This window comes from Homo sapiens, chromosome 7 (genome assembly GCF_000001405.40).
Source record: "Homo sapiens chromosome 7, GRCh38.p14 Primary Assembly".
Lineage (NCBI taxonomy): Eukaryota > Metazoa > Chordata > Mammalia > Primates > Hominidae > Homo > Homo sapiens.
The window spans coordinates 133,026,110-133,045,810 of NC_000007.14; the positions used below are offsets into that span (position 1 = coordinate 133,026,110).

General features: G+C 38.1%; 1 protein-coding gene, 1 non-coding gene and 1 pseudogene across 6 annotated transcripts in view, besides 2 other annotated features; all 3 read right to left on the minus strand.

Annotated features, from left to right (window-relative positions):
• Window positions 1-19,701, minus strand: part of CHCHD3 (coiled-coil-helix-coiled-coil-helix domain containing 3) — a 297,221-nt gene that overhangs the window by 241,240 nt on the left and 36,280 nt on the right. The window contains exon 1 of one of the 5 annotated variants that reach the window (XM_047420549.1): window positions 6,228-6,394. The exons of the other annotated variants lie outside the window; for them this stretch is intronic. Within the exon in view, the coding sequence (XP_047276505.1) occupies window positions 6,228-6,285 (58 nt within the window). The 5' untranslated portion in view covers window positions 6,286-6,394. Of the gene's footprint in view, window positions 1-6,227; window positions 6,395-19,701 lie in introns of those variants that run through there. 5 annotated transcript variants of the gene reach the window in all.
• On the minus strand, window positions 8,420-9,831 carry LOC729998 (eukaryotic translation elongation factor 1 gamma pseudogene; annotated as a pseudogene).
• On the minus strand, window positions 8,751-8,806 carry MIR3654 (microRNA 3654). Its single transcript, NR_037427.1, has one exon. It is a non-coding gene; the product is annotated as a microRNA 3654 (primary transcript).
• Window positions 9,042-9,091: an enhancer, noted in NCBI's record as "active region_26681". NCBI's record gives its function as "activates an Ori minimal core promoter by ATAC-STARR-seq in GM12878 lymphoblastoid cells {active_cell/tissue: GM12878}" and the evidence as "EXISTENCE:reporter gene assay evidence [ECO:0000049][PMID:35858748]".
• Window positions 17,404-17,566: a silencer, noted in NCBI's record as "fragment chr7:132728273-132728435 (GRCh37/hg19 assembly coordinates)". NCBI's record gives its function as "represses an EF-1alpha promoter that drives an FKBP-Casp9 reporter gene in an ReSE screen in K562 erythroleukemia cells {active_cell/tissue: K562}" and the evidence as "EXISTENCE:reporter gene assay evidence [ECO:0000049][PMID:32094911]".

Sequence of the window (19,701 nt, forward strand, 5' to 3'; positions counted from 1 at the left end):
ATTAGCTGACAAGGGACTCGTATCCAGAGTATGCACGTATATAGGATATACAATATATAAAGAACTCTTACAGACAAATAATAAAAAGACAACTCAATTAAAATGGGCAAAGGCTATAAATAGGTATTTCTCCAAAGAAGATATACAAATAGCCAATAAGTACATAAAAAGTTGTTCAACAGCATTAGTCATTAGGAAAATGCAAATCAAAATCATAATGATATGCCATTTCAAACCCACCATAATAAAAAAGACAAACAATAACAAGTGTTGGTGAAGATGTAAAGAAATTGGAACCCTCACACATTGCTTGTGGGAATGCAAAATGGCTCAGCCACTGTGGAAAACAGTTTGGCAATTTCTCAAAATGCTAAAGAGTTACCATATAACCCAGCAATTCTAATTTTAGGTACTATATATACTCAAGAAAATTTGAAAACATGTCTATACAAAAACTCATACATGAGTATTTACAGTGACATTATTCACAACATCCCAAAGCTAAACACAACCTAAGTGCCTAGCAACTGATGAATGGACAAACAAAATGTGGTATATCCATTCGATATAATATTATTCAGCCATAAAAATTAATGAACTACTGATACATGCTACAACATGATGAATCTTGAAAACACTACGCTAAGGGAAAGAAGTCAGACATGAAAGGTCACCTGCTACATCCATTCATGTGAAATGTCCAGAATAGAAAAGTCCATAGACACAGAAAGTAGATTAGTAGTTCCCTGCAGTAGGAGAAAGCAGAAAATAGAGAATGACAGCTAATGGGTATGGAATTATGGAATTTCTTTTTAAGATATTGAAAATATTCTTTTTTTTTTTTTTGAGACTGAGTCTTGCTCTGTTGCCCAGGTTGGAGTGCAGTGCCGTGATCTTGGCTCACTGCAACCTCCGCCTCCTGGGTTCAAGTGATTCTCCTGCCTCAGCCTCCCGAGTAGCTGGGATTACAGGCATGCGCCACCATGCCCAGCTAATTTGTGTTATTTTTGGTAGAGACGGGATTTCACCATGTTGGCCAGGCTGGTCTCGAACTCCTGACCTCAGGTGATCTGTCCACCTCGACCACCCAAAGTGCTGGGATTACAGGCATGAGCCACCATGCCCAGACGAAAATATTCTAAAACTAGATTGTGTGATGGTTGCACAACTCTATAAATATACTATAAACCACTGAACTGCACACTCTGAATGGATGAATATTATGATATGCTAAATGTACCTTAATAAGTTGTAAGAGAGAGAGAGAGAGAGAGAGAAAGAGAGAGAGAGGGAGAAAGAAAGAAATGAAGAGAAGGAAGGAAGGGAGGGAGGGAGGGAGGGGGGGAGAGGAAGAGGAAAGAAAAGAATAAAAAGAACACTATACAGGGAATCAGGGAATAGAGGAAAAACTATTTAATGTCTAATCCCACCATGGCCATCAACAATCTAGGGGAACTTTGGGAAAGGTATTAACCTCTCTGGGCAGCAAGAGAACAACCTTTTCTCAAATGGGTGTTTAGGGACCCTTCCAACTGTATACTATGCTTCTGTTTTGCCTCTCTCCTACTTCATAGTCTATATAGCATGAGAAAAATATAAGCCTCTACTTTGAAGGGGTCAAACAAAACTTAGGAAACCCCTAGAACAGAATTCTGTTTGCATTCAGGCAAGTATTAGAGCTCTTTATGAAAGTATGAAAGATTTTTAAACGATCCAAATAAAAGCAGAGAAATTTCAGGCAGTAAGAGCTCCACAAAAAGTCCAAATAGTCTGCTTTTCAACTAGCCAAATTTTGGATAAATCAGTTAATCTAACTGAATTTTAGTTTCCCCACCTAAAAATATGACATATGGGTACACCTGTTAGCTATGAAATTCTAGACTATAGACTTCACAAGGTAATGATTTTCATACTTTCATCTACTTCTCATAAAAAAGTAAAACAACCTGACACTAAAATTTTTCAAGTTGCATACAACCAGTAGCTCCATTTGTAGCAAAAACTGAAACAAATATTTAACATAATTAGTATGATTGATCATACCAGTTAGTATCAACTCACAGTCAAATGGTATATGTAAAATCATGCTGCCTCTCCTAGATTACTTCAAGTTACAACAGCAAGATACTTCTCAGGCAAAATTCAACAGGATTCTCAATCAAAATTCAATTTAATTTAATTCAATTAAAACTAGGCTTCTGTAAAACCTCAGAGAGTAACTATGATGCACTGGGATCAGTGTTCTAAGTAAACTAATAAAATTGTATCACATCTTTCTTATTGTTGTCTTGGGTTTTTTGTCTGTTTGTGCTTATGGCTTGAATGTTTCTCCCCTTCAAAACTCACATTGAAACTTAATTCCCACTGTGGCAGTATTGAGAGGTGGGGCCCTTAAGAGGTGAGACTGGGACATGAGGGTTCATGAATGGGTTAATCCATGCATGGATTAATGGTTTATCATGATAGTGGGACTGGTACCTTAAAAAGAAAAAGAAGGCCAGGTGCGGTGGCTCACGCCTATAATCCCAACACTCTGAGAGGCTGAGGTGGGCAGATCACGAGGTCAGGAGTTTGAGACCAGCCTGACCAACATGGTGAAACCCTGTCTCTACTACAAATACAAAAATTAGCCAGACATGGTGGTGCACACCTGCAATCCCAGCTACTCAGGAGGCTGAGGCAGGAGAATCGCTTGAACTCGGGAGGCGGAGGTTGCAGTGAGCCAAGATCACATCACTGCACTCCGGCCTGGGCGACAGAGTAAGACTCCATCTCACAAAAAAAAAAAAAAAGAAAAGAAAAGAAAAAGAAGAGAGAGCTGGACTAGCATACTGAGCCCCTCACCACGTGATGCCCCGCATGACCTAGGGATTCTACAGGAGTCCCCACCAGTAAGAAGACCCACACCATATGCAGCCCTTCAACCTTGGACTTCAAAGCCTCCATAACATTAAGTAACAAATTTCTTTTCCTTATAAATTACCCAGTTTTACGTATTCTGTTATAAGCAACAGAAAAGAGATTAAGCAGTTTGGTTTTTCCAGCTTTATTAAGGTATAATTGACAAATAGAATCATATATATTCAAGGTGAACTATGTGATGATTTGATATGAATCATGTAATGATTACCACAAATATATCGAGCACCACACAGTTACCATTGGGGTGGGGAACATTGGGGACACTTAAAATTTGTTCTCTTATGAAATTTCAAGTAAAAAATATTATTAACTAAAGTCACCATCTTATAACTGAAAGCTTGTACTCTTTGATCAACATCTCCCTATTTCCCCATCCCACATCCCCTGGTAATCACTCTTTTACTCTGCTTCCTAGAGCTCAACTTTTTTAGATTCCACATATAGGTAAGAACATACAGTATTTGTCTTTCTGTGTCTGGCTTATTTCACTTGGCACAATGTCATATCTTCATAGTGCACTTTATGCCTATAACATAGGGATGTCTTCCTACCAGAGGAAAAGCTCAAATCAGCAGCGAGCTGTTTATTCCAGTGTGATCAAACGGTGACCAGCTGGGTGGATAGGCACGAAGCCATCCAGGTGAGAATGTGGAGAGGAAGTGGTTTGGGGTGAAGAAAATGCAGACTGGAGGCTTGCTGTTTCCTTCTCTATCCCCTTCTCCCTACTATCATCAGCCCTGCCACTTGCTGTGGGGTGAGGTGAGAAAGAGATACAGATTACAGGTGGCATCGTCCAGGTAGGCCATGAGAGGAGAGAAAAACGTGGGAAGAGGACAACAACAGCAATGAAAGGGACAGGAACACTCCCATGGCCACTGAAAAAGACATGTCCAAGTGACCAGCTGGTTGACATCACTTTTGGTCCATAAAGGAGCCAAAGCACAGCTATCTTTCTAATGCCCTACCTATTTCCAGAAAAGGAAAAAAAAAAAAAATCACAACTTTTGGGTCAAGTCCAAGGTCACAACTGAAAAAGTAATTACCTTAGCTACAAATGAGAAGTTAAAATAACAGAAAATAAAAACATGACCTAGCATAAAGAGTTTGAAATCTAAAATAGCAAATCAAAGCACAGCCAGGAAAATAAACCAGTGAGGTAATGGGTTCTGAGCACATCTAAGCTTCATGGTATTTGTTTTTAAATCAATAGAATACATAAAGCAATACTGTATTTCTTCTGATAGGTCTGACCCAAAGTGCATGAGGGAAAAAGATACAGCATTTGGAGACCACTATTTAAAATGGCCTTTCTGAAAACACTCTTTTCAGCTCCCAGGATCTGAACATTTTCTCAAATAAAACTGTTATTAAACTAAAAGGTCAGTGTTTCAGGAAGGGCTAGTTTAAGAGAAGCACAAGAAAGGCCAACTTTGCCTATTAGCACAGTGAGTTTCCAAGCAAATCTTTGGGAACTGGCAAAGTTTGTGAAATGAGAAAAGGAGTAAAAACAAAAAAATGTTCAAGCAATATAAATCCCATTTGCCATGGAAATTTGCAAAACTATTTCAAGTTCAGTAAGTATGGTTCCATGGCTTTTATATACACACATACTCTCCTTTTAGAAATGTGTTAAGACAAAAGAATGTTTTCTTTCCATACTTGTATAGTCTGTACTTTTTAAAATTCTTCTCAGAAACCATTTTAATTTCTTTCTCAATGGTGAATGTATCTTAAAGAACACAAACACTGGCATTTTGTCAATTAGTTATAGATATAAACACTGATCATAAAACATGTCAGAAAAAGCCAAGCATTGCAATTGCTTAGTTCTAGCAAGTGTGGCTCTAAACCATTTACTTGAAACCATTACTGAAAATAATAAATACTTGGATGATTGAAAGCAGCTCTGGATTCCTAACAAATTTTTGTTTGTCTTTACTAAACAATATTCTAAACAAATGCTTTGGCTAGTCCAAGGGTCTTCTTTAAGGTTTGCCTAGGAATCTTTTGACCCACTTAGCCACCAAAATTTCTGGGCTATAAATTTGAGTTCAGGATCAAATAAGAAAGTCCAAGATTCCTAAACTTATACTTGATCCTGAGTATTCTTAGGAAATGTGAGGAAATTCTTATTCCTCAAAGAAAGTGTAACATAAGTTCAATACACATCACCTGTCTTCTATGTGACAGGTGATGCTCAAATTCCTGTGTTTACCGAAACTGGTTAAACTAAAGATATGAAGGGAGGGAATGGTACGGGGAGACATAATTATACATTTTAGATAGATCCTTGAATGGTGAATAGAAATGACTCCAAAAGATGGAAGGACTTGATGAACTCATCAACCATGAAAAACAGAAGACTGAAAATGCAACCATGATCTGAAATATACATAGATTCCCTGAACCTCAAGGAACATACTAATTTCCTTTGTAACTTTTCCCACTTGTAATTCCCTTTTACTTCATTTTTTTTTTGCATAATCCTTACACTATAATTCCCTCCCCAATTACAGTATTTCTTAAACAATCTCTTTAAGTTGCTTAATAAAAGTTATACCTTGCTTCTTAGAGAAATATCAGTTCCTTTGGGATTTTTCCTTTAATGTATTTTTCTTTCTGGTTTCACCATTTGCTGATATAGGTCATGGCCAATTTTGTAAAGTCTATTATTTTCATGTGCTAGTTTAAACACACTAAAGAGAAACCATGAAGATCTTCCAAGAGAACAAAATAAATATATGTACCTGCATAATATAAGCAGCAGATTTCAGATAAAGACTCTGATTCTCCCAGGATTGAGATAGTTGAGCAAAAAGTTATACCATAAGATATAGCCAAATTAAATTTTCAGCTCAATAGAAATACTCATTAATCTTATAATTTCAATAAATTCATTAAAATGAAGAGCAATTATTGTTTAAGAAAATAATAATCAAAGCATCCATGCAATCAATGAAATACAACACCAAGTATATTAGAGCTAAATGACTAACAGCATAGGTTACAGGATAAATCTTGTCCTGCTCCTTATCTTCTAAAAGCTACAGGGTTTGATTGGAAGAAGAGCCAAAAGATGACTAGGATAAATCTCAAGAGTTAGAAATAAACATGTTTATTATCCATTTGTGGCACCATTTAGTTGGCAGACAAATAAACCTGATTTAAACCAGGCACACAGAGAATATAGGTATATTCAGCTGACAGTTACCTTCACCATCCTATAAGGAGAATGTATCTTAAGAGTGCCTTCAAAACAAATGGCATCTGTCTACTACCTGGCAGGGGTAACTGTGGCTACTTACGCATTAAAGTTAATGAAGATGGTAGAATGAAAGTTCTGCACTGCACATTCATAATCATAAATACTGTACCAGAAGGCAGTGTTAGGAAGAGTTTGGCAACCTGAACATCAACAGCATCAAGTTAATGGCTTATTTTGTAGCATTATCACTCCATCAGGATGTATATACCTTTGTAAATTTCTCATCTGAATGGCATATTACGCAAATAATGTTCATTTTATTGTTTGCTTCACAATAAGCACCCATAGAAACTAGCTCCATGTTCCATTCCATGTAGGAAAGAAAACATCAATACTGGGCTATAGCCGTATAGCAAGAGATAAGCTCGTAATTCATATTCTACAGTTTAGACATCTTAAGTAGACAATTCCTAAAACCCGTATTGAGAATCAGATATATCTAGTATTTCATGTCTTAATATTCTGAATAATAGTTGCAAGATCTCACACAGCCTCCAGGAAAATAAGATCTATAATTTAAATTAAAAAATAATAATTACCTTTGGATATTGCTTTCTGATACATAGCTTAATTTTTTTGTTTCAAAAATGATTATATTTTGTTCACTGGAGATAAAACTATAATACAGTGTTAACTCTCCAAACTAAATGAAGTACAGAAACCACCCAAGCTCTTTTCCATTTCACGCAAATGGTCCTGTGTGACCAAGAAAAGTAATCAATATAATGCCCTAAGTGTAATATTTAAATAAAACAAGCTAATTTATAATAAAATAATGGCATCTCATTATGTAAACGTTCAAACATAACTACCCTAGCAGACATAATAAAACAGTCTGAATCTTGAGTTTGTGTGCTAAATCATCACAAATGCAAAAGCTATTGTTACACAGTAGTTTCACTCTTGGAAAATTCAGTATACTTTAAAACCATGCAAAACATACTTTCTGTTTATATATAAAACAACTAAGTTCTCAGCCAGGTAAATAGGTTTTCAGCTCCATGAATCTCTGATGGGACATTCAGAAGTTAGAGGGCACAGGACAATTCTTGGAGATGGGAAACTACCCCCAGGCACTGCTAGCCATGAAGATCCCTCCCCGTGCCACTAAACACCACAGCTTCCCTCAAATTCCTAAAGTGCCTGAAGTGGTGCCGTACTCCTCAAGTGGGGTACTACTCAAACACTTTCTAAAGTGGTACAGTATTGCCCCACCACTGCGCACCATTGTTTTAGACAGGGCTAAAATATTCACCCTGATAAATGAAAAAAAGTGGGAAATCTAGCTATTTTATGGTTTGTATGACCACAGATAGATAGTCACAAATAATCTACTAATATTTATATGGATTTTTCAAACAGATAAACATTTGGATGACACCAAAATATCTTTCCCCAACATGATCTCTGCCTTAAGGTGCCCAAACATGACTAGCTTTCTCTAGCTCCATACTCACCAAAACCACATTTTGCCCGGTCCACTTATAAAGATCATCTTAATTTTCCTTAGGGTAATCAAAATTACTCTCTGCTAATCATCACATTGTCTATTTTTTTTTCTCTCCTGATGTCCTAGAGGGATGAGGGCTCCATTATTAATTCAATAGAAATGGAAAAGGTGGGTACAAATTGCAACCTAAACACTCCAGGTCTCTGTGAGATATCACAAGAATGTACAGATGCCAGAAACAGATTAAAACTCATCTACCCCCAAACTGTACAAATGTTTTCATTATTTAGCATTCACATTTTCAGATTACCGTCTTTAAGAGAACAATTTCCCAAACATCGATTTATTTCAAGCTGACACATTTCCCATCAAAATTATCTACACAGGATAGCGCTTGACCATTTAAAACTATGTTTTATATATGACAATATCAGAATGAATACTGAACAAACAGTTCAATAAGGCCATATCATGTTTATAATGAAGGAAAAAGAAAAAGGATTTAAAGCTACTCATCCTGAATTAACTTATAATAATTCACAGAGATTCCTTTTTGAAATTAAGGAAGTGAGGGTATAATAAGAAATAATTTCTCTATAAACAGCAAAAATAAGTTAGCTTTCACTAAAGCATATAATATTAAACTATCTAGAATAAATGGTAAGAAAGCAACAAGGATGAGTAAAATCTAAACATATATGATACTTTTAAAAAAATGCATCTATAATTCTTTTCAAGTCCTTTCAGCAATTGGATCCAGTCTTTTTTTTTTTTTTTTTTTTTTCAATGTTCAGTTTCCTTTAATGACCCCCATCTCCCTGAAGGGCAGGTGCAGGCAGCTAGGTGATGGCAAGAGATGTTCACTTGAAGATCTTGCCGTGATTGAAGGCTTTGCCCACATGCTGGAAGGCCCCCTCCCAGGAAAAGTACTCTCGAACCAGCGTCTGGGTCTCCTCTCTGCCAGGATCCAGTTTCCGCCATGTGTATGACTCGTAGTCCACCTGCCAATCTGGACTCAGCGGAAAGGCAAGCTCCTGGCCTCGGAAGACCCAGACTCCAGAAATGGAGCTGCTATTGTTGGTTCCAAAAAGGATGACACTGGCGAAGGCATTCTTCCTCAGCTTGTCCAGTCGCTGGAACATTCCAGTGATGAGATTGCAGCTCATGAAGGTCTGAGTGAGTTCTTCAGGGAAGCGATACTCTGAGTACCACAGGGACCAGCCGTCCTTATCAAAGTGCTCCCAGAAATATGGCAGTGCCACAGAGAGTGTGTCCTCATTGGAGTACTTGCGCTTAAATTCATCCAACACAAAGGTACTCTTGGGCAGGTGAGCGAAGGGGTCCTTGGCCTTGGGCTCAGCAGCCAGCGCCTGCTCACATTCATCCATCTCCTCCTCAGGAGCAGGGGCAGCCGCCTTTTTCTCCTCCTTCCGCTCAGCCTGGGGCTTCTGCTTCTCTTCCCGTGAACCCTTCTCTTTCCGTGGTGTGTCCTTTTTAGGCTGGGTCTCTGCAAACTTTTTAGCATCAAACTGGGCCATCTTCTCACACAGTTTCAGTTCCCCCAAGACAGCCCGGAACTGGGGCTGGTTAATGCAGGTGAGGAACCAGCGGTTGGTATTGCGAAAGGCCCGGCGGAAAGAAGGCTCTAGAACCTGCTTATAGAGCCACAACAGGGTGCAGACAACTGTGATGTCAGCCAATGTCACTCGTTCGCCCACCAGAAAAGTCCTCGTCTTCAAGTAAGCATCCAGCAGCCCCAGAATTCGCCTCACTTCCTCCTTTGCATTCTCAGTGGCCTGTTTGTTGTGGTGCATGATGCCCAAGGTGGGGAACACCCAGGTACTGGCTGGGGGCACTATATCGGAATCAGCAAAGCTCACCCACTGCACCACCTGGGCTGCTGCCTCTGGAGTACTTCCCCGCAGCTCCTCATTGCTCACATAGTAGGCAATGGCGTTGCTCTCAAACACACAGAATCCATCATCACCCTCAAATGCTGGGACCTTGCCGGCAGGAAATTTGCGAAGAAATTCAGAGGTGCGGTTGGTTTGGCCAAAATGGAAGTGGGGTGGTGCGGAGAGCACGCGGATCTGAGCCCCGCTGTACTGAGCAGCGATGAGAGCCTTGAAGGCCCTCCAGTTTTCAGGATACGTGTACAGGGTCCCAGCCGCCATGGTGATTCCGCAAAGAAAGGCTGGATCCAGTCTTAAAAGTGTTATCAGGTAGGGGTCCTTAGGGGAACTGTTTTAATGAAACTAGTAATTAGAATACCAACTTATTCTCCATAAATAGTAACATCCAACACACATGATGATTTCATAAAATAATTCGCTAGGCAATTGAGATTTCCTTTAGGGGAATTTTCTTACCAAACCCTCCCCAACTCTCACCCCATGACCCCTTTCCCATCCTGTTAGTGTAAGTAAACATAATTCTTCTCTAATTTTCTGACAAATTGTAAATTAAATGAATCCAAATGAGTAAGATTTTACTGCATGTTTTAACACTTTTAAATGATTGTAACATTTTTATCTCAAGTTACACAGTTCATAGGGAATTTAACAGGAAGAAATTAATCTAATAAAGCATTATACATATATAATATTTAAAATCTTTAAAAGAATAGTATAAAATGTTCACATTTAAATTTATATGCATTTCAAACAAGGCAGTGAAATAAGAATGTTACGACATGTTACACATGCAAAACTTTCATTTTACAGTTATAACCACTGTGTGGGTGTTGGGGGTATATACCATAGGATTGTGAAATAAAATACAGAAATATGTCATATCTGGTTCATCTTAAATAGGTAGAAAAACAGCTCAATGAAAAGTATTCATGGCAAAGTATGTTTAATAAAAGAGTCAGGTTTACAGAGACCTGTGTTCTCCTGACTACCCTCTGTGACTTTATTTCTAATCTACAAATTACTAATAAGGTTTCTCTTGAAGATGAAATGCCGTAGAATGAGGAGGTATTTTCAGGTCAAACATGAACATCATTACATAAACAGAATGAAACTCTTCAATTGGAGAACCAACAGCATTTTATTAAAAATCCTGACTGATGCTGTATAACATTTCATTGAGCCAGTACTATAGTTTGCAAGAGACTGTTTAAAGCCATATATTCTTCAGAATGTCAACATGCTAGGATTTGTTGGTTTTTTTAACCTACAGAAAAGATTATGTAACAAGAAGAATTTGTGGTGCATTTTCATAAAGATTTAGGATCTGGCTTGATGTCCAGGTTCAATAAGTATTTTAGCTTCTGATCATCAAGATTCACATATTTATTGTAAATGAATTTGATCTGAGAGTAACAAGAATTTATCTGAATCTCTTTCATTATCTTTGAATGCTGCTAAAGTAATAGAATATGATGAATGATGACGAGACCAAAGGTTAAAGTAAAATTGATGTTGATCAAGCATTTTCTAAAAATTCATCTTCATGACAAGCTTAAAAGACTATTAAATCTTCCTCCTAAGAAACATGAAGTGTAGTGTGGCAAAGAGAAAGATTTAGACAATGAGGGAGAACAATATACATTTTATATATAAAACAATGAAAAACTAGAAGCAAATTAAATGTCCAAAAACAGTGAAATGGTCAAATAATACAATGCTAACATTAAAAAACATGCTTTAAACCCCACGAAAAATTTCTCACAAGTGAAAAGATACCAGGCTGAACACACTATTTGGTCTTCATTTTGTTTTCTATATGTACAGTACTGAAAAAAGCCTAAGGACACCATCACAAAGAAATACATACATATAGCCCAGCACAGTGGCTCACACCTGTAATCCCAGCACTTTCGGAGGCTGAGGCAGGCGGATCACCTGAGGTCAGGAGTTCGAGACCGGCCTGGCCAACATGGTGAAACCACACCTCTACTAAAAGTACAAAAATTAGCCAGGCGTGGTGGTGCACACCTGTAGTCTCAGCTACTAGGGAGGCTGAGGCAGGAGAATTGCTCAAACCCGGGAAGCAGAGGTCGCAGTGAGCCGAGAACACGCCACTGCACTCCAGCCTGGCGACAGAGCGAGAGACTGTCTCAGAAAAAATAAATACATACATACATAAATACATATGCCAAAATGATACTAATGATTACCTTTATATTTGGGAGAAATGGATCATTTTCCTTTCTCTCTTTATACTTCGTTGCAGTGTTTACCAAGAACACATTTTTACTTTCATAATCATTTAAAAGTTATTTTTAAACAATGCATAATGAGGCATAATTTCAGTTTTTAAAAAACACCTTTATCAATTCAATCATGAACATTACATAGTATATCAGTTTAGCTAACAGAAGTTCAAACCATTCTTATACCAAAGAGAGTTGGCTGGGATTAAAGTATCTAAAAGTAGGTAGCACAGGCTCTAAGAAAACAAAATTGGTTCATGTTCTTTTCCTTTGACCCCACAGGTATCCTGCCCATATACCATTATAAGACTATGTGTTCTTAAAAGGTAAATTACAATCAAACATCTGTATTATATTATATGATATATTATATTATAGAAAAATGCAATCATATACCTTTATAACATTTGGGAAAGCAGAATTTACAGCACACAGTTTCTTATGTACACTATCTAGAAGCACACCATACAAGGGTTATTTGCTGAAGAGTTCCTCTGTAATTGAACACAATGAGATTCAAAGTGTCTCCAAAAGGATATTCATGGCCATATTGAATACAGGTAGAAAAGAGAGGAAATGTTAGAGAGCCAAGACATTCTCTTTTCACTCTAGCTTCTCAAGTAGCATTTAATTTTGTCTTCCATTTAGATTTTTCAATTGATAACACCAATCATCCTAGTATGATGAATGATATATGTTACCAAGGACAGCTGATGAAAAATTCTTGGCCACTGACTTAAGCCATCAGCTGAGGTTAAGCTAAGTCAGATATAAGGAATGAAAGGTAACCCGGATAGCATTTTCTACATCATGCAACAAATACCCCGCAACATTAATAGCAAAGTTCTATAGAGATCCACTTCCTACATGTGGCATCACTGCCACAAAATGTCACTACATATTGGGGTGTTCTAGAAAATCACTCTATAAATTGTCCACTTTGGCTATGAAATAGAGACCTATTCATTTTATTCCATACAATTGAAAATATAACTTCAACTGTAAATGTAAACTATATTATATCCAACATTACATTCTTTGCTGCCACTAGCAAAATAAAACATTTAATAGTCCTTGCTTGCTGTTTGGATTTACACATGGTGGGAAACGCATATAAAGTTTAGCTTTGCCTCCTTAAAATGGAATCTGACAACTGCTCACTGAGGTTTTGTGGACTTTAGTGTCTCTAGTGAAAGCTGTTATTCAACAAACCAATTTCTTTTTTTTTAAGTTGCTTAGTCCATGCACACGCCACAATCAACTGGCTAAGACAAAAATATTTTAAATACCTATTTGTGGGTATTCTATCTCAATAACAAATATCAAAACCATTATTTTTCCACAAAGCTTTCAAGACATGGTAGCAATGACAAATGACAGGACACGATAAGAGATATTACAGCTTTATCTTGAGTTTAATCATCTTATTTATTTGGATTTAAAGAAAAATCAAACTAAATTACTCATTCCTTATAGTAGCAAGAGGAATCCTCAGATGCTGTCTCTGCCATTTCAGATATAATTTTAAAATACCAAGTCTTTTCAATTTTTAATCCATGCTGATAAATCAAGAGTAACTAAAATCCAAACAGGAATTCAGACAGGTGAGAAAATGAAGTCTTTGTAACCAAAATACTCCAGCATAACTCAGCTCTATATGGAAAAGAACTTGCATGTCAGAGTTGCCAACATTTTCCGCACTTGAAGTCTTGACTATGCCTTTTTCCACTGTCATCTGGGAAGCCAAGGAAAATTATAAATCTCAAATAACACAGCAGAGGCTGCCCCGAGCAGCAGCCTACAAAGCAGCCCCATATCTATTCTTTCTGCCCTCCAATAACTGAAACTCAATTTGTGGTTGAGCACATGGCTGGTCAGAAGGAAGACTACATCTTCCAGCTTCTCTTGCAGTTAGGAATAGCCTAGTGACTAAGTTCAGGCCAAGAAAATGTGAATGAACAGGGTGCACGCAGCTTCAGAGTCATCCCCCATGACACAGGCTCAAGGATAGTTGTGAGCCTAAGACAGAAAAGACTGGGTCCCAACATTAGGGAATCATCAAATTATCCAAAATGTTACATGAGAGAAAAATAAAATTTTAACTTTTTGAGCCATGTAACTTAGGGTCTCCATTAGAACAGTGGAACCTATATTCGACCCCACATATCTTACTAAAACGTATGTCCAACTCTACCCTTTGTCAGACCTAGAAGAATCAAAGGATAGCCTCAAAAACATGCAGACTTAGAAAGAAAAGCTAAAAATCAGCTATGTTGGGTATACTTGCAAGAGCTGGAAGAGACCTCAGAGCAGAAGCCTATAGCTGCCCCAGGAAAGTCTCTTTTTTCATTATCCCTACTGAAGGAGTGAAGGACATGCCATCCCAAAATATGCTGGAATGGCCTATTGACTATTTCAAGTTGAAAACACTGGAGGAATTGTAGTTTCAGAAGGGGCTAGCTGACCTTTCTCTTCCCGCATGCAGTAAGCCATCAAGATTCCTCTGGGAGGGGTACCCTTCCAGTACTGGGGTGAGAAAACAGCCCTTACCACCAGACATTGAGAACTGGGGCTGCAACAGACCTGAATAAATATACTTAATGAAGTAACCCTTATCTTCCACTAGTTTTATACACCCCTCTATATATCTCAGTAACTCCCCTAGAAAATTTATTGCCCCTCACCAAAGTTTACTTGTCCTGTCATTTCTTCTCAAATTCATTGTTCTTTGTCAAAAAAGTATACAAGCATCTTGCTGTGGTTACTTCCTCGGATTCACTCTCTTATGAAGATCCCCATGAACACGTCGATGATGTATATGCTTTTCACTTGTTAATATGCCTGGTGTCAATTTAGTTTGCAGATCCAGCCAAAGAGCCCATTTACACAAGAGCAAAAAGGGGAGTCAGAGATGATCTCTCACTCCCCTATACTACCCAGCTATCCATAATAAGAGGAAATTAAAGAGTCATTAAAATGCTTTTTCCATCCCAGGGTAAGTAAGCCATAAAACAAGCCATTCAGTCGCAGTCGAAGAGCCCTTTTATTATTTCTAAAATGAGGGCCATGAATTAGATCACCTCGAGTGTCCCTGCTGGTAAATGTATTTCTGAAACTGTGGTTCTCTGCCCATGGCATCACAGCAGAGCAGCTAAGAAGGTCGCCTGTAGAATCAGAATGCCTCGATCTAAAACCCTGCCATGCCATGTGTTTATGTATATTGTTGGCCAAGTTTATTAGCTTCCCCGTAACTCAGTTTCCTTGCTTGTATAGTGGGAATTATACAAGTATCCAGGTAATAAGATTGTTGTGAGAATTATATCACCTTCTGATAAATACCATTACCTCATTAGATTACATTTTAGTTCCCATAAACCTACTTTACCCAAATCCCTATATAAATAACACTCAAATTTCAAATAACAAGGAATTTATAGATTGCACATCAATGACTAAATTACCTTTCCTACTCTAGTAATTCTTCAAGGCTCCATCCAGTCATCTACTTCCTGTTTAATGATAATCTAACAATCATAGTACCTACATACTAATAATTCACTCACTCTCAACCACCTTTCTGGCAAGCTAACCTTTAATGAAAAAATGTCTCAGCTATCCCAATGTTTGCTGAAAACCTAAGTGAAGCGATGCTCTTGATTTATTTTTCCATCCTTTCTTCCCATGTACCATTCTGCATAATAGCAGCAAGGGTCCAGTACAAATCTTCCTAAATCTTCCTTTTTCACAGGTTTTCTTTTATTCAAAATTCACTAAGCAGAATGAAATGAAAGGACTGATTGAGTCATAACTTCATTATTCCCCCATCTCCATCTACTCCAGTCATATACGCAAAACTTGAATGTGATTTAGAACACCCTGTCCTGGCTGTCCCCATCTAAGAACCCACTTTCACTATTCTATGTTCTGCTGCTAAACTCTGGGAATTTCTAAGACCCAAAGCAAACAACTGCTCTAATTCAATACTGCCTTTGATACGCTAATAGTCCTATGAGGACTTCGACTATCAGCTAAAAAATAAACATAGTTCAGGTCTAAAGCAGTCTGCCTGGGCATAAGTTAGGTAAAATACGAATACATAAGAGGTGCTGGCAATGTTTTTGGCATTAGTGTAAAGTTCTGTAAGAAAATAATTATTTTTAAGCATGCAATGACAGAACTGCCACATTCCTAGGAAATGTAAATTATATCCAAGGGCCCTTTTTTTCCAGCATAGCATGTCCAATTTTATAAAAGATGTAAATGGAGAACTATAATCCACTTATACATATTCACTTAAAAGCAAGCTTGGTTGAAACACATCTATTTTTTTATGAGCAATATTTATACTTTTACAATCTTAAAAAGGCTTCTCTTCATCACACTGCGGTAGTATTTCTGCATGTCCCTAAGATTCTCTCCAACTATCTTACGTTTCCCTTTGAATACTCACAAAGACACACCTCCAAGGCTTAACACCAAGAGAACACATTCTGAGACAGTCTTTTATTGCTTGCTGCCTCCAGACAACCATGGCAACCTTTTACTCAAACCATCCTTATCCCAGAAAGATGTAGGGAGCTTGGCATCCCTGCTAGGTTACACTCATCATTATAATCAACTCTGCGATGACACAGGGGACCAGGCAAGGCCAATATACTGCAGAAATCATTCAAAACTGGCTCTAGTCTGTGCCAATGTGTACACATTTTCATACAATCACTCTCTGATGCAGAAACCGGGAAGATGTTCCATGTCCCTACCCCAAGGCTCTTCTCTCTGCTACACATTCCAACAGACAACTGCATTTCTCATAATAACACAATCTTAAGAAACCTTTGGTAATATTTTTAAACATCTGTAACTTGTATGTTACATAAGTGATTTTACTTAAAACATTTTATTTTAAATAATGAATATTATTAATAAAGATCATGACAAAGTTTTTTTTTGTTTGTTTGCTTCGGGTATTCAATTTTTTTGATGCAGGGTCTCACTTTGCCACCCAGGCTGGAGCCTAGCAGCACAAACACGGCACACTGTAGCATCAATGGCCAGGGCTCCAGTGATTCTCCCACCTCAGCCCCACCGAGCAGCTGGACCACAGGTGTGCACCACCACACCCAGCTAATTTTTGTATTTTTTGTAGAGACAGAGGTTTCATTATGTTGTCCAGGCTGGTCTCAAACTTCTGAGCTCAAGCAACCCGCCTGCCTCAGCTTCCCAAAGTGCTGGGATTACAGCCGTGAACCATCACACCCAACCCTTAATAACAAAGTTTATTGTAATAATCTTTTTATACCATTTATATCAAGATAAAATTTAACTTGTTGCAGCCTTTAATTATGAAAAAAATTTAAATATGACACTATATTGTATTTCATTTGTGGACCAACCATATTTTTTAATGTGGACAAAACTGACTTAACTGTTACAGTTTCAAAAATAGACAAAATCGACTGGACACGGTGGCTCACACCTGTAATCCCAGCACTTTGGGAGGCCAAGGCGGGCAGATTACCTGACGTCAGGAGTCTGAGACCAGCCTGGCCATCATGGCGAAACTCCGTGTCTACTAAAAATATAAAAATTAGCTGGGCGTGGTGGTGCATGCCTGTAGTCCCACCCAGCTACTCGGGAGGCTGAGGCAGGAGAATTGCTTGAACCCGGGAGGCGGAGGTAGCAGTGAGCCGAGATAGCGCCACTGCACTCCAGCCTGGGTGACCGGTTGAGACTCCATCTCAAAAAAAAAAAAAAAATAGACAAAATTCCCTTTCATGCTCTACTGTTCAGAATTCTCACATTTTGCACTTAGGGAAGTTAACTTATTTGATTTTAGAACTTTTGTGTTTTATTTATGACAGGATAAAAGATTTCAGGGTACTATTTGCAAATGCAAATAAAATTGGGGGAGGATAGTTTTTATTCCTAATAAATGAAGAGCAACCTTTCTAAGATTAAGTAGCAAAATATGAGACACACCCCAATGTGCTATATGAGCATTTTAGCAAATGAATACATTTTAGTAGTCTAGTGAAAAGCATCCTGACGCTAATTTTCAGAGGCATCATCACATTTATGATGCTCATTAACCTGCTTTTCAGCATCAGTGTCCCGTATGTTTCCAGATTTCTACCAATAATCTATTATGGGCATAAATTAAACACTGCATGACTATGAATAAAAAGTTTAAACTATGTAAATGTCTAATCACCATGGCAGGTAGCAGCATGTGTGATAAACCAACTGTGGATAAAGCAACTGAAGGGCTGAAACCCCTTTGCCTGATCTCTACTAACAATCACAAAACTCACTAGACATTTAAAGAAAATACTTAAATAATTGTTTTATTGGTTGATTTGTTAATAGAAATTAAAATGTTCTCCATTAGCGCTTTTAACAGCATGCGCTCTCCAAAACATTGTCATTTAAGTTCCCAGTTGGGAATGGTACAAAATACAAACCTAGGCAGACCTGTATTCTTTCAAACATTACCTATAATTGAATAAATGCTTACATTTTTAGGTTTTGTAAGTTTCCTGATAGGATGCAGCAAAATAAAAGTTAATGGGTGGGGAGAATAATTACCCCAAAATAATAACAATAATAATACAAGAAGTACTAAAGGAAAATAAAATACCATTCAATTTATAAGCCAAATTTAAAATAATCTGTCCTCAGATAATCAGAAGTTAATAGTATTCTCCAGCCCTATTGTAATCAAAAGACTGTTACAAAAATTCAGGCCAAAAGCTTTTGCAAGCTATTTTTGTGAAATACAAAAAGACTGTAAAGTGTTGGTAATGATTAGAAAGCCCAAGGCTGGAAAGAGTCAAGGGAGAGAATGTATATGGCAGAAGAGCAGTCCACTGGATGGGTCTGCAGGGCAGACTTGGGAGAGGGAATCCAGGAAGCTGCATGGAAGCTCACACAAATCTGCAGCTCTCCTCCCCAGGCGGGAGATGAGGCTGACAGCAGGGCTGAGGCACTGCCTCCCAAGTCCTGCAGCTCTGATCCAGGATGCTGGCCTGGGGAAAGCAACGCACATACTCACTGCATGATGCGGGGTTAGGGGAGCATGGCAACCCTGCTGAGCGGTAAATGTGCTCAGTCGTTTTTTTCCCCTCTACCTAAAGCTTTTCCTGTCAACAGCATCCGAGTTACTTAGTATCTCTGGAGCAACTCAGACAGAGGGGCTTAACAGTTTAGAAGAAACAGCTTATGATTCCCCACCTAAGAGAGGAAATAAAATGCATTTAAGTGAATGCCTCCCATTTAATTAACAAAAGAAAGAGTAGAACTAGATTTTAGGTAAGGATGGAAGCAACTACAATACACTTAAGCTGTCAGGCCTGACAACTGACGAAGAGGTTCAGACTCACCCAGTGAAAAGCAATAAAACAAACCTTTTCAGGCTTACACGACGCACAGGAGAGACATGCCATTTCAGTGCACTCTAACATTCTATTTCAGGTCCTGTCTCTGCTCTACCTACCAGTCATCACTAATGGAGAACTGAACTGAAACTCTCTATGACAGTCACCCTCATTAAAACAAATTGCCCAGAAGAAGCTGAAATATAGAAGGCAAAGGCTTTTTAATGAAGAAAATAACAAACTTCAATATGATCATTTTATCTTTAGGGGAGAGGTAGGCAGAGAACTGACTAGAACATTAAGAAACACAAATAATTTAAACTTATAGGTTCTAACCATTTTAAATTAAGTAAATTTTAATTTTTACCCTCCAGGATCTCGCAACATATGTATATGCTGATATAGTTTGGATCTGTGTCCCCGCCCAAATCTCATGTCAAATTGTAATCGCCAGTGTTGGAGGTGAGGCCTGATGGGAGGTGACTGGATCATGGGAGCTGATTTCCCTCTTGGTGCAATTCTTATAGTGAGT